The sequence below is a fragment of the Homo sapiens genome, chromosome 17 (genome assembly GCF_000001405.40).
Source record: "Homo sapiens chromosome 17, GRCh38.p14 Primary Assembly".
Lineage (NCBI taxonomy): Eukaryota > Metazoa > Chordata > Mammalia > Primates > Hominidae > Homo > Homo sapiens.
Window position 1 is genome coordinate 9,339,443 of NC_000017.11, and position 20,386 is coordinate 9,359,828.

The 20,386-nt window shown below is 44.4% G+C and overlaps 1 protein-coding gene across 3 annotated transcripts in view, besides 1 other annotated feature; it reads right to left on the bottom strand.

Annotated features, from left to right (window-relative positions):
* Positions 1-20,386, bottom strand: part of STX8 (syntaxin 8) — a 325,350-nt gene that overhangs the window by 88,972 nt on the left and 215,992 nt on the right. The gene's annotated exons all lie outside the window — the stretch shown is intronic.
* Positions 9,110-9,404: a silencer, noted in NCBI's record as "tiled region #2542; K562 Repressive non-DNase unmatched - State 24:Quies". NCBI's record gives its function as "represses a minimal TATA promoter and a strong SV40 promoter by Sharpr-MPRA in K562 cells {active_cell/tissue: K562}" and the evidence as "EXISTENCE:reporter gene assay evidence [ECO:0000049][PMID:27701403]".

Here is a 20,386-nt window from a genome sequence, read left to right on the forward strand (position 1 = left end):
AGGAGATCGAGAACGTCCTGGCTAATACGGTGAAACCCTGTCTCTGCTAAAAATACAAAAAATTAGCCAGGCGTCATGGCAGGTGCCTGTAATCCCAGCTACTTGGGAGGCTGAGGCAGGGGAATTCCTTGAACCCAGGAGGTGGAGGTTGCAGTGAGCCGAGATCGCGCCACTGCGCCACTGTACTCCAGCCTGGGCGACAGAGTGAGACACCATCTAAAAAAAAAAGGACTCCTCATTCCTGCTGTGTACTCTGTCTATTGGCCTATGCTCAGAAAGGGCTTTTTCTTTATGAGACAGGAATGTGCCCGGCTTCTGTCATCACATATATAAGACAGACAAGACTGGAATCAAACTTTCCCACAGAATTGGCGTAAGGACCGAAAGAGACATTATGTATCTTTGAAAGCGCCATGGATACTGCTTACTCTGACTATTATTATGAATGCTTTAAGTTGGTCATTTAGGAGCTAAGAAACACTGATGAGATTCTGTCTTGTATGAGCATGATTGTGGTGTTTCTTTCTCTCTCCTGCTGGACTTTAAGCAACTTGAAGGTAGGACTCTAAGGCTGACGCAACCGCGGGATCCTCCCATAGCACAGCATTGCTGAAGGGATTCAATAAAAATGTGATGAATGGGTGAAAGATGACCATGTCACAGAAGCCCACGTGTAATAAATAGTTCATTTGGAATGTGCACCTGCGTGGGAATTCTCCAAACACCTGCCGAGGCCAGTAACTCCTGTTTTCTCAGCCTATCAAAGAGGGCAGCTGCTCCTTTCCCTCAGGTGACCTTCTCTCATTTATCAAAGCTGGAAAGGGCTGTGATTTTCCCCAACATGCAGACTCTCTGAGCAATTAATAGCCCTCTCAAACAGACTTGTCCTCTAATGTCGATCTGGGAAAATGCCATTTAAAAATTTGTTTCACTGAACATTTTCACAAAATGAAAATTAGAAGATATTAAAGGCATCTGGCTATGTTAAGTAACGGGAATTTATAGTACTTAAATTTATCTGCAAAAGGAAAACATGATAAACACTAGCATGGTTTTCTATCATTTAAATCCTAAATTCACAGGATGGAACATTCAACTCCTGATTTTCCAGAAAATCTACTCTTATGAATCCTAAAGTTATCTTGAAAGGCAGGCTTTGTATTTTTCCAGTGAATATATTGCTGTTTCTTATCAATGTTGCACTTGATTTTTTTTTTTTTTTTTTTTTTTTTGAGATGGAGTTTTGCTCTTGTTGCCCAGGCTGGAGTGCAATGGCGTAATCTGGGCTGACCGCAACCTCTGCCTCCCGGGTTCAAGCGATTCTCCTGCCTCAGCGTCCTGAGTAGCTGGGATGACAGGCATGTGCGACTATGCCTGGCTAATTTTGTATTTTTAGTAGAGACGGGGTTTCTCCATGTTGGTTAGGCTGGTCTCAAACTCCCGACCTCAGGTGATCTGCCTGCCTCGGCCTCTCAAAGTGCTGGGATTACAGGCGTGGGCCACCGCACCCAGCTGAAATGATTTTTAAATTGTAAAATTTAAATTATAAATTATAAATTATATATATAAATATATATTATATATATAAATTATAAATTGTAAAATTTAAAATTGTAAATTATAAGGGACTCTTTTCTCTAGTAGATACCACCTTTAAAGTATCATGTGGAAAGTCGAAATTAAGCAATTTCACATGGAAATGGAGGTTTTGGCTTGCCTTGAAAAATCAGAAGAGACTGCGATATTGGGCCCACATTGCTACCTGGCAACAATCACCTGGGGCTGACCTCTTGAGAGGGATGCTCTCTGGTTTTGCTTCTCTACTGCAGCCTCACTCCTTTCTATGCCCGCCTGGCCTCCACAATGAATAAAGAGAAGGAGGCATGGCTTCTCTTCCAAAGATACATATATTCATGGATCTCTAATAAACGAAAGAGTGAAAATACGTAATTGGCATAGAGGGAAAGTAGAGTAGTCGCCACAAGACATGACTTTTTTGTTTGTTTGTTTTTTGAGACAGAGTCTTGCTCTGTTGCCAGGCTAGAGTGCAATGGCGTGATCTCGGCTCACTGCAACCTCTGTCTCCTGGGTTCAAGCGATTCTCCTGCCTCAGCCTCCCGAGTAGCTGGGATTACAGGCATGTGCCACCAGGCCTGGCTAATTTTTGTATTTTTAGTAGAGACGGGGTTTCACCATGTAGGCCAGGCTGGTCTCGAACTCCTGACCTCAGGTAATCTGCCGGCTTCGGCCTCCTAAAGTGCTGGGATTACAGGCATGAGCCACCGCGCCCGGCCAAGACATGACTCAAGTGCAGCTGAAGCAAGATTTGAAGTTGAACAGCAACTGAGGGGAGCCCACTGTGTGAGCAAATGCTGAGAAGCAGAAATGGACAAGCTAGGTTTGGGGGAGAAGAAATAACTGGTTTGGCTATAGTGGGAGGTTTCCATAGGGGTAGAGGAACAAGGTGGCAGACGAGACCATGTAGAGAGACCGTGGAGAGCCTCAGATCCAGAGCCAAGGACTGTGGGCTGTGCACTCTAGGGCAGCCATCCCCAACCTTTTTGGCACCAGGGACCAGGTTCACAGAAGACAATTTTTCCACGGCCTGGAGGGGAAGGGGGAGATGGTTTTCGGGATGAAACTGTTTCATCTCAGATCATCGGGCATTAGAGTCTCATAAGAAGCACACAACCTACATCCCTCGGATGTGCAGTTCACAATAGGGTTTGCGCTCCTATATCTAATGCTGCCACTGATCTGACAGGAGGCGGAGCTCAGGTGGTAATGCTCGCTCAACCACCGCTCACCTGCTGCTGTGCGGCCCAGTTCCTAAAAGGCCACAGACCGGTACCAGTCCTGGCCCAGGGGTTGGGGACCCCTGCTCCAGAGCCAGGTTGGAGCTCTCCAAGGTTTACACTAACAAGGGCCTGGCAAGATAAGAGTAGTGTTTCAGGATGATCCAGTGGGGGGCCCTTCAGAGAATGGTGACAGAGAAAATGCAAAGGGAGAGCCCTAAGCGTGCAAGACATGCTATGGCCTGAGGGGCAGTAGGCACTGGAGGAGGAGAAAGAGCTCCACATAGGAAAGGAATTGTCCAGCCAGAGCTACGGGAAGAACAGTGGTGCCAAACACAAATACCGGTGTGGGCTGGCTTCTTGTCTGGGTTTCAAGTGTGTGTGGCGCGTGTGTTTATGATAGTGGGGTGAGGGGTTGCAAATGATGAATTTGGTTTAAACTTTTTGAGTGCCAGGAAATGACAGGGAGATCAAGAGACAGATGTGCAGATAAAAGTGCAAATGGCCGGGCGCGGTGGCTCACGCCTGTAATCCCAGCACTTTGGGACACTGAGGTGGGCAGAGCATGAGGTCAGGAGTTCAAGACTAGCCTGACCAATATGGTGAAACCCCGTCTGTACTAAAAATACAAAAATTAGCCAGGTGTGGTGGTACGTGCCTGTAGTCCCAGCTACTTGGGAGGCTGAGGCAGGAGAATCGCCTGAACCCGGGAGGCGGAGGTTGCAGTGAGCCAAGATTGTGCCATTGCACTCCAGCCTGGTGACAAGAGTGAAACTGTCTCAAAAAAAAAAAAAAAAAAAAAAAAAGCTGCAAATGTGAGGATGCACTGAGTGGTAAGGACAGCTGGAGCCAGGAGATGGAGAAGGTTTCTAAGAAAAACATGCCCCAAGAGGATCTGGACCACAAAACCCAGAAATGCTTCTGCTCCAGTTCAAGAAGCAGTGGAGATGTGATTCTTCGATACGTAGCCTTAGAAACCAAACCACACTGTTGCCCCGGGTACTCTCAACCACTCCAAGTTTTTATAGAGCCTTTGGAATGATGGATGGGGCTCAGTTTACCCAGAGACAGTAAAATCAGATGAAAGGGGTTAATTAGAACTGTTCTCTCTACTGCTAGGTGCAAAACAGCCACATTGGAGCCATGATGAAGCTACGTCTATTTAAACAGCCAAACTGATCATTGTAACTGTTTTCTCTCTTAAAATAAACCCCATGCTTTTAGCCATATTCCTGCTTCTTAAAGCCTCTCATGTGAAAGATGCCAAAATAATCCTGGACCTTAAAGAGGTCTTGATTTATCATTTCACAGCTGGTTCCCATGCACCTCCCTTTCCACTTTTTCAGAGCCTCACTATATAAATCCTGCCATCAGATCAGGGAGGCAGGCATGGTGGTGATGGATGTCAAACCTGCGATGGGGAAAGTGAAGAGCAGTTCCCTACTGGGAACAGATAAGCCAGCAGACTTCTCACAGACTGCTCCTGTTACCAACTCAGCCAACCCCACCCCCTCCTCCTGCTCCCTTGGCCCTCCCCATCTGCCGGATAGGGCCTCCCTTCTGCTGCGAAGCTTCCACTCCTGTAGTGTTCTGGTTTGCGTTCTTTGATGAGAAATATTAATTCCAGGTTAATACTGATGTTAAAAAATAAAAGCCCGACCTAATTAAAAATTCAAGTTAATTTTCACCCAGGTTCCCTTAACTTTTAAAAAATGTTCTTTTTGTAAAAAAGAGTAAATAGGTTACATGAGGAGGCCCAAGTACCAGGAATTGATTAGTGGCACAATGAAAAAAGTTACAAAATATAACAACAACCACTTAAAGCAAAGTTAATCTAGTTTGCTCAACAGCCCAGGACTTTTGCTGCCTAAGTACAGGATGCTTCCTTGCATATACTTGCAAATTTCACCTTTTAGGCTAAGGAGATGTTTTTCAATTGATTTGGGAAGGAGGAAGGGGTCAAGACCACGGAGGCTCCAGGTAAAATGCTGTAGGTGGGCAGTCTGCCTCTGATACTAAACTTTTTTTTTTTTTTTTTTTTGAGATAGAGTCTCGCTCTGTTGCCCAGGCTGTCATGCAATGTCGTGATCTTGTCTCACTGCAACCTCTGCTTCCTGGGTTCAAGCAATTCGCCTGCCTCAGCCTCCCGAGTAGTTGGGATTACAGGCGTCCGCCACCACACCCAGCTAATTTTTGTATTTTTAGTAGAGACGGGGTTTCGCCATGTTGGTCAGGCTGGTCTCAAACTCCTGACCTCAGGTGATCTGCTCACCTCAGCCTCCCAAAGTGCTGGGATTACAGGCATGAGCCACCAAACCTCTTCCTTTCTTTGCTCTCTTCCCATCACCCAGCCCTCCTCTGTTCAGTGCCCAGGCACACTGAGACCCCACACTGCTGTCTCTGGCCTGCAAAGATGCACAATGCCACCTCATGTAGGCCTGCTTGCCTGCCCCACCCACACCCCCAACTCAGGTCATAACATCACTTTCCCATCAAAGCTCCAGTTTCCCTACTATGGATGATTTCCTGGTGATATTTTTAAAATCAAACTAAGCGACTCTAAAAGGTGAATAACAAACTCATTGACTTCCCACTGTCTCACACACAACACACCCAGCCTTTGCATCTGGTTTAGTGACTTGTTAGCTTACATCCTTGGTCATAACTTGGCAGCCAGGGAGCCAAGTCTGATTTGCAGTTGTGTTTTAACCTGGTCAGTGTTTTAAAAATCGGCAAAGTTTACACAAAATCATCGCTCTCTCTCTTTCTCTCTCAGGAGACAGGTGATATGGCATCCTGGGGCCACAGTTCCACAGGGTAGCAGACGAGGGGCTGAAGAGCAAGTTCTCTGTGGGCTCTAGTTCACAGGGACACCTGCCACTCCTGACTGTCATATACACACAGCTCTCATTTTCTTTCTTTTTTTTTTTTAGATGGAGTTTTGCTCTTGTCACCCAGGCTGGAGTGCCACGGTGCAATCTCAGCTCACTGAAACCTCTGCTCCAGGTTTCAAGTGATTCTTCTGCCTCAGCCTTCTCAGTAGCTGGGATTACAAGCATGCGCCACCACACCCGGCTAATTTTTGTATTTTTATTAGAGACAGGGTTTCACCACAATGGCCAGGCTGGTCTCAAACTCCTGACCCCAGGTGATCCGCCTGCCTCGGCCTCCCAAAGTGCTGGGATTACAGGTGTGAGCCACCATGCCTGGCCACATATCTCATTTTCTTTACCTGGTTGCCATTTGAATTTGTGACTTCTGGCTTAAATGACTCTCTAAATGAGAGCACAATTAAATAATTTCACAGAAGTAGGGACAAAGATATATTTTTAAAATTTTTTATTTTTAGATGACAAAGAATATATATTTATGGGGTACAAAGTAATGTTTTAGTATCTACACACATTGTGGAATGATTATATCAAGTTAGTTAACATATCCCTTATCTCACATACTTTTTTTTTTTTTTTGTAGTGACAACATTTAAAATTTGTTCTTTCAGCTACTTTGAAATACAGTTGAGTATCCCTTATCCAAAATGCTTGAGACCAGAAATGTTTCGAACTTTGGATATTGGAATATTTGCATTATACCTCCGGGTTATGCATTCCTTTTTTTTTTTTTTTTTTTTGAGATGGAGTTTCACTCTTGTTGCCCAGACTGGAGTGCAGTGGCACGGTCTCAGCTCACTGCTACCTCCGCGTCCTGGGTTCAAGTGATTCTCCTGCCTCAGCCTCCTGAGTAGCTGGAATTACAGGCACACGCCACCACACCCGGCTCATTTTTGTATTTTTAGTACAGATGGGGTTTCACCATGTTGGCCAGGCTGGTCTCAGACCCCTGACCTCAAGTGATCTACCTGCCTCAGCCTCCCAAAGTGCTGGGATTACAGGCGTGAGCCACCACGCCCGGCCGGCCCCTGACTATTAAGACCAGGAAGAGTAATCATGGTACAGGAAAGCAGATCCTATACAGTAACACAGAGGGCATTTTCAACAGGAGATATCTGTTGCTTTGCCTTTCAGTATCACTCTTGGCTCCTTTTCCTCCTCTCTCAACTTTTATATTTCCTCTCTTTCATCTCTCTGTCTATCCCTCCCCATTTCTCTTTCCTTGACTAAACCAAATATTACCACGGGAGCACACATCTTACAGCACTCTGCCTGTCCATCCCACTTAACCTCAATCCTCAGCACTCTGGTGTGTCATGGAAAATTAAGAATGTTTGAGAAGTACCACGGAAAGAAAAAGTTTAGCAAGCAATGACCACAAACCACTAACCCTGGTCACATCTGGTCACTGTTCTTGACAAAACTCAAAAACTTTATCCAACACTCAATGGGGGGCCCCCTCTAGCTTATGCATGCAGGTCTGAGGGTTGATTTCACATGCATCCAAATAAAGTATTTTAGGAAAAAGAAAACAAACTCACAAGCCAGGAGGCCAGGAAGCAAAGAGACTCCCTAGAGCTTCTAACTTGCTGACTGGCCACAGTGACACCATAGGGGTGGCTACACTGAATCTGGTCTGATGTTCTTACCAGTTTTATGGCTGTACCAGTTTTATGACAGTGACATGAAGAGATATACTCAAAGAAATGCCTCTCCTTGCTGGGCACGGTGGCTCCCACCTGTAATCCCAGCACTCTGGGAGGCCGAGGTGGGCAGATCACCTGAGGTTGGGAGTTCGAGACCAACCTGATCAACATGGAGAAACCCCGTCTCTACTAAAAATATACAACTAGCTGGGCGTGGTAGTGGGTGCCTCTAATCCCAGTTACTCGGGAGGCTGAGGCAGGAGAATCGCTTAAACCCAGGAGGCAGAGGTTGCAGTGAGCTGAGATCACACCATTGTGCTCCACAGCCTGGGCAACAAGAGAGAAACTCCATCTCAAAAAAATAAAAAAATAAAAAAAAAAAAAGAAATGCCTCTCCTTTTCAGCACCTTCAGAAGTTAGATGTATCCCCAACATCTCCTAGTTCACTTTAATAACCCATTGCCACTCTACATAAAACTGTTTTGAATCTTTTACACCAGGAAGCCCTCAGCCTTCCCAAATTGCCTGGGCTGCTCAATACCATAAAGCTCCTAGAGAAATGACTCTTTATGAAAAGTAGTACTTGTTTCTAATGGAGCAGCTATATATGGAAGCTTTTTTCCTTTTTAAAAATAAATTGTAAAATACATAACAAAAATGACCATTTTAACAAAAGTATAAATTCATTGGCAAAATACACTCCCAATGTTGTGCAACTATCACTACTACTTATTCCAGAACTTTCTTTTTCTTTTTTTTGAGACAGGGTCTCACTCTGTTCCCCAGACTGGAGTGCAGTGGCACGACGTCAGCTCATTGCAAAACTCTGCCTCCCAGGTTCAAGCGATTCTCCTGCCTCAGCCTCCCAAGTAGCTGGGATTACAGGCACCTGCCACCATGCCCAGCTAATTTTTGTATTTTTAGTAGAAACTGGGTTTCACTATGTTGGCCAGGCTGATTCTAGAACTTTTCATCAGCCCAAAAGGAAACCTCATACCCATTAAGCAGTCTCTCTCCATTTCTCCCAACTCCCCAGTCCCTGGCAATCACTGATCAGCTTTCTGTCTCTATAGATTTGCCTACTCTGGACATTTATATAAATTAAATCATATAATATATAGCTTTTTGTTTCTGGCTTCTTTCACTTGGCATAATGTTTCAAGGTTCATTTATATTTTAGCATGGATTACTACTTCATTCCTTTTTTGTGGTTGAGTAATATTCCATTGTATGGTGTGTGTGAAGGCTTTTGTGAAATAAATAATGGTGGTTGGATAGTATGTAACTGCAAGCTACTAAACTGAAGGAATTTATCCTGTGTGACAGGTGGTATTTCTTTTACATATGAACATTGTAGAATATGGGAACCTGCTGGGCGCGGTGGCTCACACCTGTAATCCCAGCACTTTGGGAAGCCGAGGTGGGCAGATCACAAGGTCAGGAGATCGAGACCATCCTGACGTTGAAACCCCATCTCTACTAAAAATACAAAAAATTAGCCAGGCGTGGTGCGGACGCCTGTAATCCCAGCTACTCAGAAGGCTGAGGCAGGAGAATGGCATGAATCTGGGAGGCAGAACTTGCAATGAGCCGAGATTGCGCCACTGCACTCCAGCCTGGGCAACAGAGCAAGACTCTGTCTCAAAAAAAAAAAAAAAAAAAAGAATATGGGAACCAATGTATAGCCTATCCAAACCATTCATAATCTAATAAACTTTCTATCCCTATTCAAATTTCATCTTTCCAGACTGAGAAGTCCTTTAAAAAAATTTGAAGGCTCAGAAAATCCTCATCCACATTATTTCAGTTGCCTTTCAATGAATCCAATTCAAAGGCAGTCATTTGTGCTAGTTGCTGGGAATCAGAATTGCAAGACACAGTCCCTGCACTCAGGAAGCTCAAGGTCTAGTGAGAAGATAAACATCCGAACAATTTCACCACACTGTGATAACTTTCAGGATGTAAATCTAAACTGTAAGGACTCAAGTTCACGAAGTTTTCCAGCTGAGGGAGCTTATGCAAGCTTAATATGTGGGTCAGAAATGCTTTGGTTTGGCTTCCTACCTTCCTGATGGCCAAGGTCTTCAGAGAAAAGCTTATACATTAATCGTCCCTTATGCATGGAGGACGCGTTCCAAGACCCCCAAGGGATGCCTGAAACCAGGGACAGGACTGACTCTACAAATACTATCTTTTTTCCTATACATACATACCTACGATAAAGTTAACTTTTTGAGATGGAGTTTTGCTCTTGTTGCCCAGGCTGGAGTGTAATGGCACAATCTCGGCTCACTGCAACCTCTGCCTTCCGGGTTCAAGTGATTCTCCTGCCTCAGCCTCCCGAGTAGCTGGGATTATAGGCGTCCACTTCCATACCCAGCTAATTTTTATATTTTTAGTAGGGACAGCATTTCACCATGTTGGCCAGGCCGGTCTCAAACTCCTGACCTTGGGTGATCTGCCTACCTCGGCCTGCTAAAGTGCTTAGATTACAGACATAAGGTAAGCCACTGCACCCGGCCGATAAATTTATTTTCTTTTCTTTTTTTTTTTTTTTTTTTTTGAAACAGAGTTTTGCTCTTGTTGTCCAGGCTAGAGTGCAGTGGCGCAATCTCGCCTCACTGTAACCTCCGCCTCCTGGGTTCAAGTGATTCTCCTGCCTCAGTCTCCTGAGTAGCTGGAATTAGAAGTGCCCACCACTACGCCTGGCTAATTTTTTGTATTTTTAGTAGAGATGGAGTTTTACCATGTTGGCCAGGCTGGTCTCGAACTCCTCACTTAAGGCGATCCACCCGCCTTGGCCTCCCAAAGTGCTGGGATTACAGGCATTAGCCACCACGCCGGGCTGATAAAGTTAATTTCTAAGTTAGGCACAGTAAGAGATTAACAACCATAACTAATAATAAAATAGAACAATTATAACAATATACCGTAATAAAAGTTATGTGAATGTGGTCTCTCTCTCTCTCTCTCTCTCAACAGATCTGACTGTACTGTACTCCTCCTCCTTCTTGTGATAATGTGAGAGGATGAAATAAATGCCTACGGGATGAGAGGAAGTGATCCTCCTGCCTCAGCCTCCCTGGTAGCTGGAACTACTGGCATGCACCACCACACCGGGCTAGTTTTTAAATTTTTCTTTTGTAGAGATGGGGTCTGACTATGTTGACCAGACTGGCCCTCAAACTCCTGGCCTGAAGCAATCCTCACACTTTGGCTTCCCAAAGTGCGGGGATTACAGGCGTGATTGTCCCAAATGTCAGCAGTGTGACACTGCGTTAGGCTACTATTGACCTCCTGGCAATATGTCAGAAGCAAGATCATCTGGTTCGAGTAATCCTGAATCACTGAGCCCTGATGATGGCCATAGCTGGATGTGAGGAGCAGATCATGGTAATGACTAATGAATGGGCCGCGTATACAGCGTGGATACGCTGGACAAGGGGATGATTCATATCCAGGGTGGGATGGGGTGGGATGGCGTGAGATTTCATCACACTTCTCAGAACAGCATGCAATTTAAAACTTATGAATTGTTTACTTCTGGAATTTTCCATTTAATATTTTAGGATTGACTGTGGTTGACCACAGGTAACTGAAACTGTGGAAAGCAAGACCAAGGGGGAACTACTGTAATGAGAGCAGTTGGTGTTGCTTTCCTGAGTAGCTGGGCTCTTCTGATTGACCCTAGAAGTTAGCATCTATCATATTTGCCTAATGCGACATCTTGCTCACACTAAAGTGTTTTTTTTTTTGTTTTTGTTTTTGTTTTCTTTTTTTGAGACGGAGTCTCTGTTGCCCAGGCTGGAGTGCAGTGGCACGATCTCGGCTCACTGCAACCTCTGCCTCCCAGGTTCAAGTGATTCTCCTGCCTCATCCTCCTGAGTACCTGGGATTACAGGTGCCCGCCACCACACCTGGCTAATTTTTGTATTTTTAGTAGAGACAGGGCTTCACCATGTTGGCCAGGCTGGTCTCGAATGCCTGACCTCGGGTGATCCACCCGCCTTGGCCTCCCAAAGTGCTGGGATTACAGGCGTGAGCCACCACACCCAGCCTAAAATGTTTTTATCTTTTAAAATCTTCCTATCTTTCAGGATGAGATATAAAAGTGCTGATTAGTAGCAGACCTAGAAAGAAATTTCATCAGGCATTCCTTCACTCCTTAGACATATTAAAAATATTAACATGGGAACTAAGGCACTAACCCATGGGCAGCTTCATCGTCTATACTTTCCATCTTTCTCTCCAACTGTTTATGTTGAAAGATTTCAACCTGACAGAAAAGCCGAAAAGATAGTATAATGAACATCTATATAGGCCAATGTTAAATGGTGAATAATGAATGTTTTTAATGTGGTTATATGTAATAATGTCATAATAATGTAGTGATTTCCTTGTCTTTTTTTTTTTTTTTTTTTTTTTGAGACGGAGTCTCACACTGTCACCCAGGCTGGATTGCAATCTCTGCCTCCCAGGTTCAGGTGTTTCTCCTGCCTCAGCCTCCCAAGTAGCTGGGATTACAGGCGCGCACCACCACACCTGGCTAATTTTTTGTATTTTTAGTAGAGACAGGGTTTCACTATGTTGGCCTGACTGGTCTCCAACTCCTGACCTCGTGATCTGCCCGCCTCGGCCTCCCAAAGTGCTGGGATTACAGGTGTGAGCCACGGCGCCCGGCCTATTCATTTCTAAAAACTTAAACATGCATCTCCTAAGAACAAGAATATTCTCCAACAGAATCATATCATTGTTAATCTGAAGAATTTTAACACTGATACAACATTATCTAATGCACAGTCCATATTCAAATGTCCCTCATTTACTCAATAATGTCCTTCTAGCTGGGTATGTTTTTAAAATCTGGAATCCGATCAAAATCAGAAACTGTATTTAGTTGTCATATTTCTTTAGTTTCCTTTAATCTACAATTCTTCTATCCTTTTTCTATCCTTCATGACCCTGATATTTTCCTTGTCTCACAGAACACCCATCAATCTGAACTACTCTTATAGTGTCTGTTGATGTCATTCAAGTTAACATTTTTGGCATAAATACAGTAGGTGATGTTGTGTTAATTATACCGCATCAAATTTGGAGCAGTGTACTGTGTCCTGTAATCCTAGCGCTTTGGGAGGCCGACTTGGGAGGATCACTTGAGCTCAGGATTTCAAGACCAGCCTGGGCAACATGGTGAGACCCCCATCTCTACAAAAAATACAAAAAATTAGCTGGGTACGGTGGTGTGCGCCTATAGTCCCAGCTACTTGGGAGGCTGAGGCAGGAGGATTGTTTGAGCCTGGAAGATGGAGGGCTTCGGTGAGCTACGATTGTGCCACTGCACTCCAGCCTGGGTGACAGAGCAAGATCCTGCCTAAAAAAAAAAAAAAAGAAAAACAACAAAAAAAAACTTGGGGCTTCATAATCCAGGTTGTCATACTCCTGGTGATGCTAAGTTTGATCACTTTTTTCAAGTGTCTTTCCTCCTTAATAATTAATAAATAATCTGTGTGGTGATACTTTCAGACTGTGGTTATCCTGCTTCCCATATCTTTTCACCCAATAGTTTTGGCATTGATGGTCAATCCTGAAACAATTACTGGTGGTTGCAAAAGCTGTTTTTCTAATTTTATCTTTTTTTTTTAATATATCTTAGCTGGGAGAAAGAGCCTCTCCCCATCCTTACTCCCACTTTTTTTTTTTTTTTTTTTGAGACGGAGTCTTGCTCTGTGGCCCAGGCGGGAGTGCAGTGGCGCAATCTCGGCTCACTGCAAGCTCCGCCTCCCGGGTTCACGCCATTCTCCTGCCTCAGCCTCCCGGGTTCACGCCATTCTCCTGCCTCAGCCTCCCGAGTAGCTGGGACTACAGGCGCCCGCCATCACGCCCGGCTAATTTTTTTGTATTTTTTTAGTAGAGACGGGGTTTCACCGTGTTAGCCAGGATGGTCTCGATCTCCTGACCTCGTGATCCACCCGCCTCGGCCTCCCCCTTACTCCCACTTTTTTTTAAGTATCACTGTGGATACGCAAACTCATGGACTCATGGATGCATTTTTCAAGTTCAGTATCTATAATCCATTAACATTGTTATTCTTTTTATTGCTCCAATTGCCTCCATTTTTTTTTTCAGACTCTTTTTTCAGGGTCTTACTCTGTTGCCCAGGCAACAGTGCAGTGGTGTGATCAAAGCTCACTGCAGCCTTTAACTCCTGGGCTCAAGTGATCCTCCTGCCTCAGCCTCCCTGGTAGCTGGGACTACTGGCATGCACCACCACACCAGGCTAGTTTTTAAATTTTTCTTTGGTAGAGACGGGGTCTGACTATGTTGACCGTCAGACTGGCCTTAAACTCCTGGCCTGAAGCAATCCTCACACTTTGGCTTCCCAAAGTGCTGGGATTACAGGCATGACTGCCCCAAATGTGACCTGTGGGAGTCCCTATAAGTCAGCTCCTGTGTTCTTTTACATAGCCCCATCATTGTTTGTGCGCTTCCTTGATCTCAGACCCAAGATGTTCTAGGCTTGCCTTTTATCTTCCTGTCCCAGATTTAGACTCAGTTGCTCCTGCAAAGAGTCTTAGTTTCTTTTGGGAGTGAATAGTATTTAGAAACCAAGAACTGGGTGTAAACTGTGCTCATTACTACAGGAGTATCACTGCTTCTACATGCTTTCAGTGGTTAAAGTGGGCAATGTATTTATTTACTTAAAGTAGCAGCCCACCATGATACTTCCAATTCAAACCAAACACCATAAAGATCATTATTACTTTTCTCATTCACATTCACTATTTATCTCCCTAGTTCCCAATAACATCAATATATTTACTCACTTACTCTCCCCAACTAATACACAAAGCAGATCCAGAATTACTCTAATATCACTCTAAACAATAAATCTACTTAGTAGAATTCAAGATTTCTGCAATTCAATGTCCTTAAAAATATCCAACTAAGGGTGCGTAAAGTATATTTAAGTCACTTACATTCTTCTTTACTGAATACATTCTCTGTATTTTAAATTAACAGATTTTTCTTTCCTATTTGTAAGTTTATTTCTCAAGATATAACAGAACCTACAAATGTAAAGAGCTTCAAAATTTTAACAACTATTTTATCAAAATGATTAATGTATAAGCTAAAAAGTCAAGTAATCCTAAAAAAAGGTTATAATAAAAACCAGTGATTTCTACCTGCTCCTTCTGACTTTCCTCCTCATCAAAAGCACTCACTTTTCACTTATTTTGGCTGTTTCTTCTGTTACTTATCTCCACACTTTTAAACTATATGCCCATACCATAATCTTTAAATTCCATCAATTTTAAATATTACACAGTCACCTTCTCTTTCATTATAGGAGTATTTAGCTCTCTTGTACTCCACCTCTTCAATCTCCCATCTACCCTATAGTTGAATCATATATTTTGATTAAATCAAACATCTAACAATTACGTTATCATGGCTATGTTTGTATTTACTCTTAACATACTATAATCATGCTTCCATTTCTGTATTACTTTTTGTTTTCCTGGAATTAATAATTGTCTCACTTTTTTTTTTTTTTTTTTTTTGAGATGGAGTCTCACTCTGTCACCCAGGCTGGAGTGCGGTGGTGAGATCTCGGCTCACTGCAACCTTCACCTTCTGGGTTCAAGTGATTCTCCTGCCTCGGCTTCCCGAGTGGTTGGGATTACAGGCCCGTGCCAACATGCCTGGCTAATTTTTGTATTTTTAGTAGAGACGGGGTTTCACCATGTTGGTCAGGCTGGTCTTGATCTCCTAATCTCATGATCCGCCTGCCTCGGCCTCCCAAAGTGCTGGGATTACAGGCAGGAGCCACCGTGCCCGGCCCATATTTACTCTTAACATACTATAATCGTGCTTCCATTTCTGTATTACTTTTTGTTTTCCTGGGATTAATAATTGCCTCTCTTTTTCAATTGCTTGAAATCCCTCCTACTAAATCTCATAACCTTCAGCAATCACTCAGTGTAATTTTTCACGCAGGAAAACATACCATCTATTTTCCCTCTTAGCTCTAGCTCTCTATTCTAGAACAGCTGTTCTCTTGGTCTGTTGTGCAGCCTTCCACTGCTGTCATCCTGGGAGTTGTCTTTACTTCTCTCCCTTGTTTCTGTCCTCCCAGATCTTCTTTCTAGGGTTAATATTTGTCAGTAGCTTCCTGCAATACTACCACCCCTGTTTTTGCTGAGATATTGGATGCCATTCTAAGTTCAGATCCTTTGAAAGTAATCTGTTGTCCCCTACCTCCCACCCCTAGGGAGGCAGAAACTTCTCTTTAACTGGGTGCTCTGAAATTTCATTATGTTGTGATTTGACATGGGTCTTTTTTTATTTCATTTCTTAAGCTGGATATTGATAATGGACTCTTTCAATAAATATGGTTACTCCTGTCTGTCAGTTCTTGGGAAATTTCTGGCATTATTTCCTTTGGTAATTTGTTGACTGTTGTTTTCTCATTGTGGCATTCCTACTCTTTCGATCTTGGATGGATCCTCTAATTTTGATATCTTCCTGTGTCTTTTGGTTCTACTTTGTGGAACTTTTTTTTTTTTTTTTTTTTGAGACATGGTCTCACCCTGTCACCCAGGCTGGAATGCAGTGGCACAATCACAGCTCACTGCAGCCTTGACCTCCTGGGCTCAAGCAATCTCCTCTCGCCTGTCTCCTGAATAGCTGGGACTACAGGCATGCACCACCACACCTAGCAATTTTTTTTTTTTTTTTTTTTGAGACGGAGTCTCATTCTGTCGCCCAGGCTGGAGTGCAATGGCGCAATCTCGGCTCACTGCAACCTCCGCCTCCCGAGTTCAAGCGATTCTCCTGCCTCAGCCTCTCGCCTCCCGAGTAGCTGGGATTACAGGCGCGCTCCACCACTCCTGGCTAATTTTTGTATTTTTAGTAGAGATGGGATTTCACCATGTTGGTCAGGCTGGTCTCGAACTTCTGACCTCGTGATCTGCCCGCCTCAGCCTCCCAAAGTGCTGGGATTACAGGCGTGAGCCACTGCACCCGGCCACCTAGCTAATTTTTAAAAACTTTTGTAGAGACAGGGTCTCGCTATTTTGACTAGGCTGGTCTTGAACTCCTGGGGTCTAGCAATCCGCTCACTTCAGCCCTCCAAAGTGCTGGGATTACAGGCAAAAGCCACCAGGCCCAGCCCATCTCTTCAACTTTGAAACTGCCAGGAGTGACCACTGATCCTTCCCATTCATTGCTTTTTTTCACAGACCACCTCTCAGTTCCTTCTTTTACAGAGAGAAAGAAAGGAAGTAGCTGAGGGATGTAAGCCAACTTAACTAGAAGACATTAAGTTCAGTTGTTCTACATTTGTTCACATCTAAAATTACTTAATATGTAGGTGGTAGGTCCATTTGTCAAGCAGTAGAAATAGCATCGTTCCTTCCAGTAGCTCAGTGTGACAATACTGTTTCTTCTATTAAAACAATGTCTGCATTTTGGGGTTTGCAGAAATTCACTGTTTGGCATGACTTTAAGAATAGCTCTAACCAAATGGTCCATGAGAATACATAAAAACCTTTTTCAGTTCAACAGGTCCACGAAGAACCCAATAATTCTGAAAGAAACATCGAAGGCTGGAAAAACATGTCAGATGATTGTCAGGAGAATATATGTTGCACATCTCAGTGGTGCCCATGTAAGCTGCCTATATGCCAGGTATGACCTGGTGTCTGCCAGCTCCACACCTGCCCTTCTCTGCTCAGTCATGCTGGGGCTTGGAGTCTGTGAACTACCCTTCCCAGGCTCCCCTGCCAGCTGGCTTCCTGTTATGTTCTGCCAAAATAAGGCACTGTCAGGAGTTCAGAAAGCAAGAAGAGGGGTGAGGCTGTTCCTCTTCCTCTCTTTCCCCATCTGCTTCTGGCAGCATCTCTGCAAGTGTCTGTATTCTAACAGTGTTCCCCATGGCAGTGGCAGCCTCTCTTTGGCAGTCCCAGAACGAGCAAGGCAGGCCTGCTTCTGCTGCAGCCCAGGGGCCAGGTCCTAGGCATCTCTAGCACTGGCTGAGCGGCAATCCCAGGAGTACTGTGGTGTGCAGCAGCGCATTTGCATCTTTGCTCTCCTAGGCTTAAGGGTGGCAGCTGCTTCACACAAGGACTAATTTCTGGATTACTGCACCTTCCCCTTTTCATTCTCTCCATCCTTTTAACAGTTTTTTTTTTTTTTTTTTTTTTTTTTAGGCAAAGTCTTGCTCTGTCACCCCGGCTGAAGTGCAGTGGCATGATCTCAACTCACTGCAACCTCCGCCTCCCAGGTTCAAGCAATTCTCCTGCCTCAGCCTCCTGAGTAGCTGGGATTACAGGCATGTGCCACCATGCCTGGCTAATTTTTGTATTTTTAGAGACGGGGTTTCGCCATGTTGGCCAGGCTGGCGGTCTCAAACTCCTGATCTCAGGTGATCTGCCTGCCTTGGCCTCCCCAAATGTTGGGATTATAGGCGTGAGCCACTGCGCCCGGCCCTTCTAACAGTATTCTAACAAGTTGTTTGCATTCTGTCTCCTCTGAGTGAAATACCTAGTATGGTTATTCTTTTTCCTGATTGGCTCCCAACTGACGGAACCTCTCTGAGGGATTTAAAAAATAAGAAGAAAAAAAGACTGGCCAGGCACGGTGGCTCACGCCTGTAATCCCAGCACTTTGGGAGGCCAAGGCAAGGTGGATCACCTGAGCTCAGGAGTTTGAGAACAGCCTAGCCTGTGGTTTTGTAGAAAACTCCATCTCTACAAAAAATACAAAAAGTAGCTGAGTATGGTGGTGTGCACCTGTAGTCCCAGCTACTTAGGGGGCTGAAGCCAGAGGATCTCTTGTGCCCAGGAGGTTGAGGCTGCAGGGAGCTGTGATCATGTCATTTCATTCCAGCTGGACAACAGAGTGAGACTCTGTCTCAAAAAAATAAAATAAAATAAAATATAAAAAATTAAAATTTTTAAATACTCCAGAAGTCTTAATTTTCAGAAAGAGTGAAGGGCGCAATGCCTCATCTATGGTTATGATTGCAAAAGTACAAACTGATTTCAATTGTTTTATTGACAAAGTCATACATCTCTAGAAGATGACAGTTTCTCTAATGTGAAGTCCCAAATTCAAGAGGATTTCCATTAGTTTCCAGAATAAGTAGCTAAGTGCACAACAGCCCTCTCTGTAAAGTTTGACTGCTACAAAAATAAGAAAACTGGTTTGCATGCTGCTAAGATGACCGAACACAAAAACATCTTTTAATAAGGAGCTGAAACCAAGTTGGGAGAAGGCTGCTTCAGTCTTCAATTTTTAGGTGCAGTGGCTCACACCTGTAAATCCCAGCACTTCAGGAGGCCAAGGTAGATCGTTTGAAACCAGGAGTTCAAGACAAGCCTAGGTAAGAAAGCGAGACTTCATCTCTACCAAAAAAACAAACAAAAAAATTAGCTGGGCATGGTGGTGCACACCTGTAGTTTCAGCTACAGGGGACGAACTCCAGGGCTCAAGTGATCCTCCTGATAGCTTAGCACAGAGGTATGACCATGCCACTGCACTCCAGCCTGGGCAACTGAGCGAGACCCTGTCTCTAAACAGAAGGGAAAAAAAGGTCTTCAATTTTGCAAAAGGGCAGCCATGGTACACCACTCAGTTGTTCATTCACGGTCTTCAACCCACTTTAAAAGGCATAATGGAAATGACAAGAAAACAGATACAAAAGGTATTTTTAAGAGGATGCGGCAGAATGTATCATAAAGTTATTACACAGTAACAGTTTTTAAATGCACTTCTTGGGACTATTCCTGTGCTCCGTTATCTTCTAAACACACTTCCAGATGGCCCCATGTTCGGTGACACATTGAGGAGAGAAAGCGGCTGGTGAGGCCACACAAAAGAAACCGGAGGATGGCAGGGTGCTAGGAATGCTGGCTGAAGGGTGGGATGCAGCTTGGGCATGAGGCCTTTAAAAGGCATATTCTTGACCAAGATGATAAATAGAGAGGACAGTAATTAAGGGAGGAAGACTGGAACTGAGAGAAAACAGGAAAGGAGAGAGTAGGGGGAAAAGATTACAAAGAGAGAAGTGAGGATGAGTACAGGAAACTCCGGGAGCACCCAATACCCCAGGGCAGGAGATGTGATTTAAGGATGGGAACATTATGGCTGTATTTGATTGGCTTACATGTAATAGTCCCCAGCCCCTTGGGGGTCACCAGTGCTACAGGGAAACCTGGGTGGGATTATATCCAGCATCCTCTCAGTGGAACTAAGGCTTTTTTTTTTCTTTTTTTTTTTGAGATGGAGTTTTGCTCTTGTTGCCCAGGCTGGAGTGCAATGGCGCAATCTTGGCTCACTGCAACCTCCATCTCCCGGGTTCAAGAGATCCTTCTGCCTCAGCCTCCCAAATAGCTGGGATTACAGGCGCCTGCCACCACGCCTGGCTAATTTTTGTAATTTTAGTAGAGATGGGGTTTCAACATGTTGGCCAGGCTGGTATTGAACTCCTGACCTCAGGTGGAACTAAGGCTCTTGAGCCTGACTTTGGGCGTTAATACGCAGGAAAAGAGGTATTACTCTCTGTGGAAGTTATCACCTTCAAGATAAACACACTGGCCCTGGGAAGAAAGGTTGAATAGAGAGCCTGAAATCCCCAAAGAGAAATCCCTTGAAGGGCTCCTCTGAACTCCCATCACCCACAAACTTAAGAGTTTTCCTGGTATTCCACAATGCTGAGACATATTTTTTTTTTTTTTTTTTTTTTGGGACAGAGTCTTGCTCTGTCGCCCAGGCTGGAGTGCAGTGGTGCAATCTCGGCTCACTGCAAGCTCCGCCTCCCACGTTCATGCCATTCTCCCGCCTCAGCCTCCCAAATAGCTGGGACTACAAGCGCCGACCACCATGCCCGGCTAATATTTTTGTATTTTTAGTAGAGACAGGGTTTCACCGTGTTAGCCAGGATGGTCTCGATCTCCTGAGCTCGTGATCCGCCCGCCTTGGCCTCCCGAAGTGCTGGGATTACAGGTGTGAGCCACCGTGCCTGGACTGTGATAGGAGTTTTAATTTT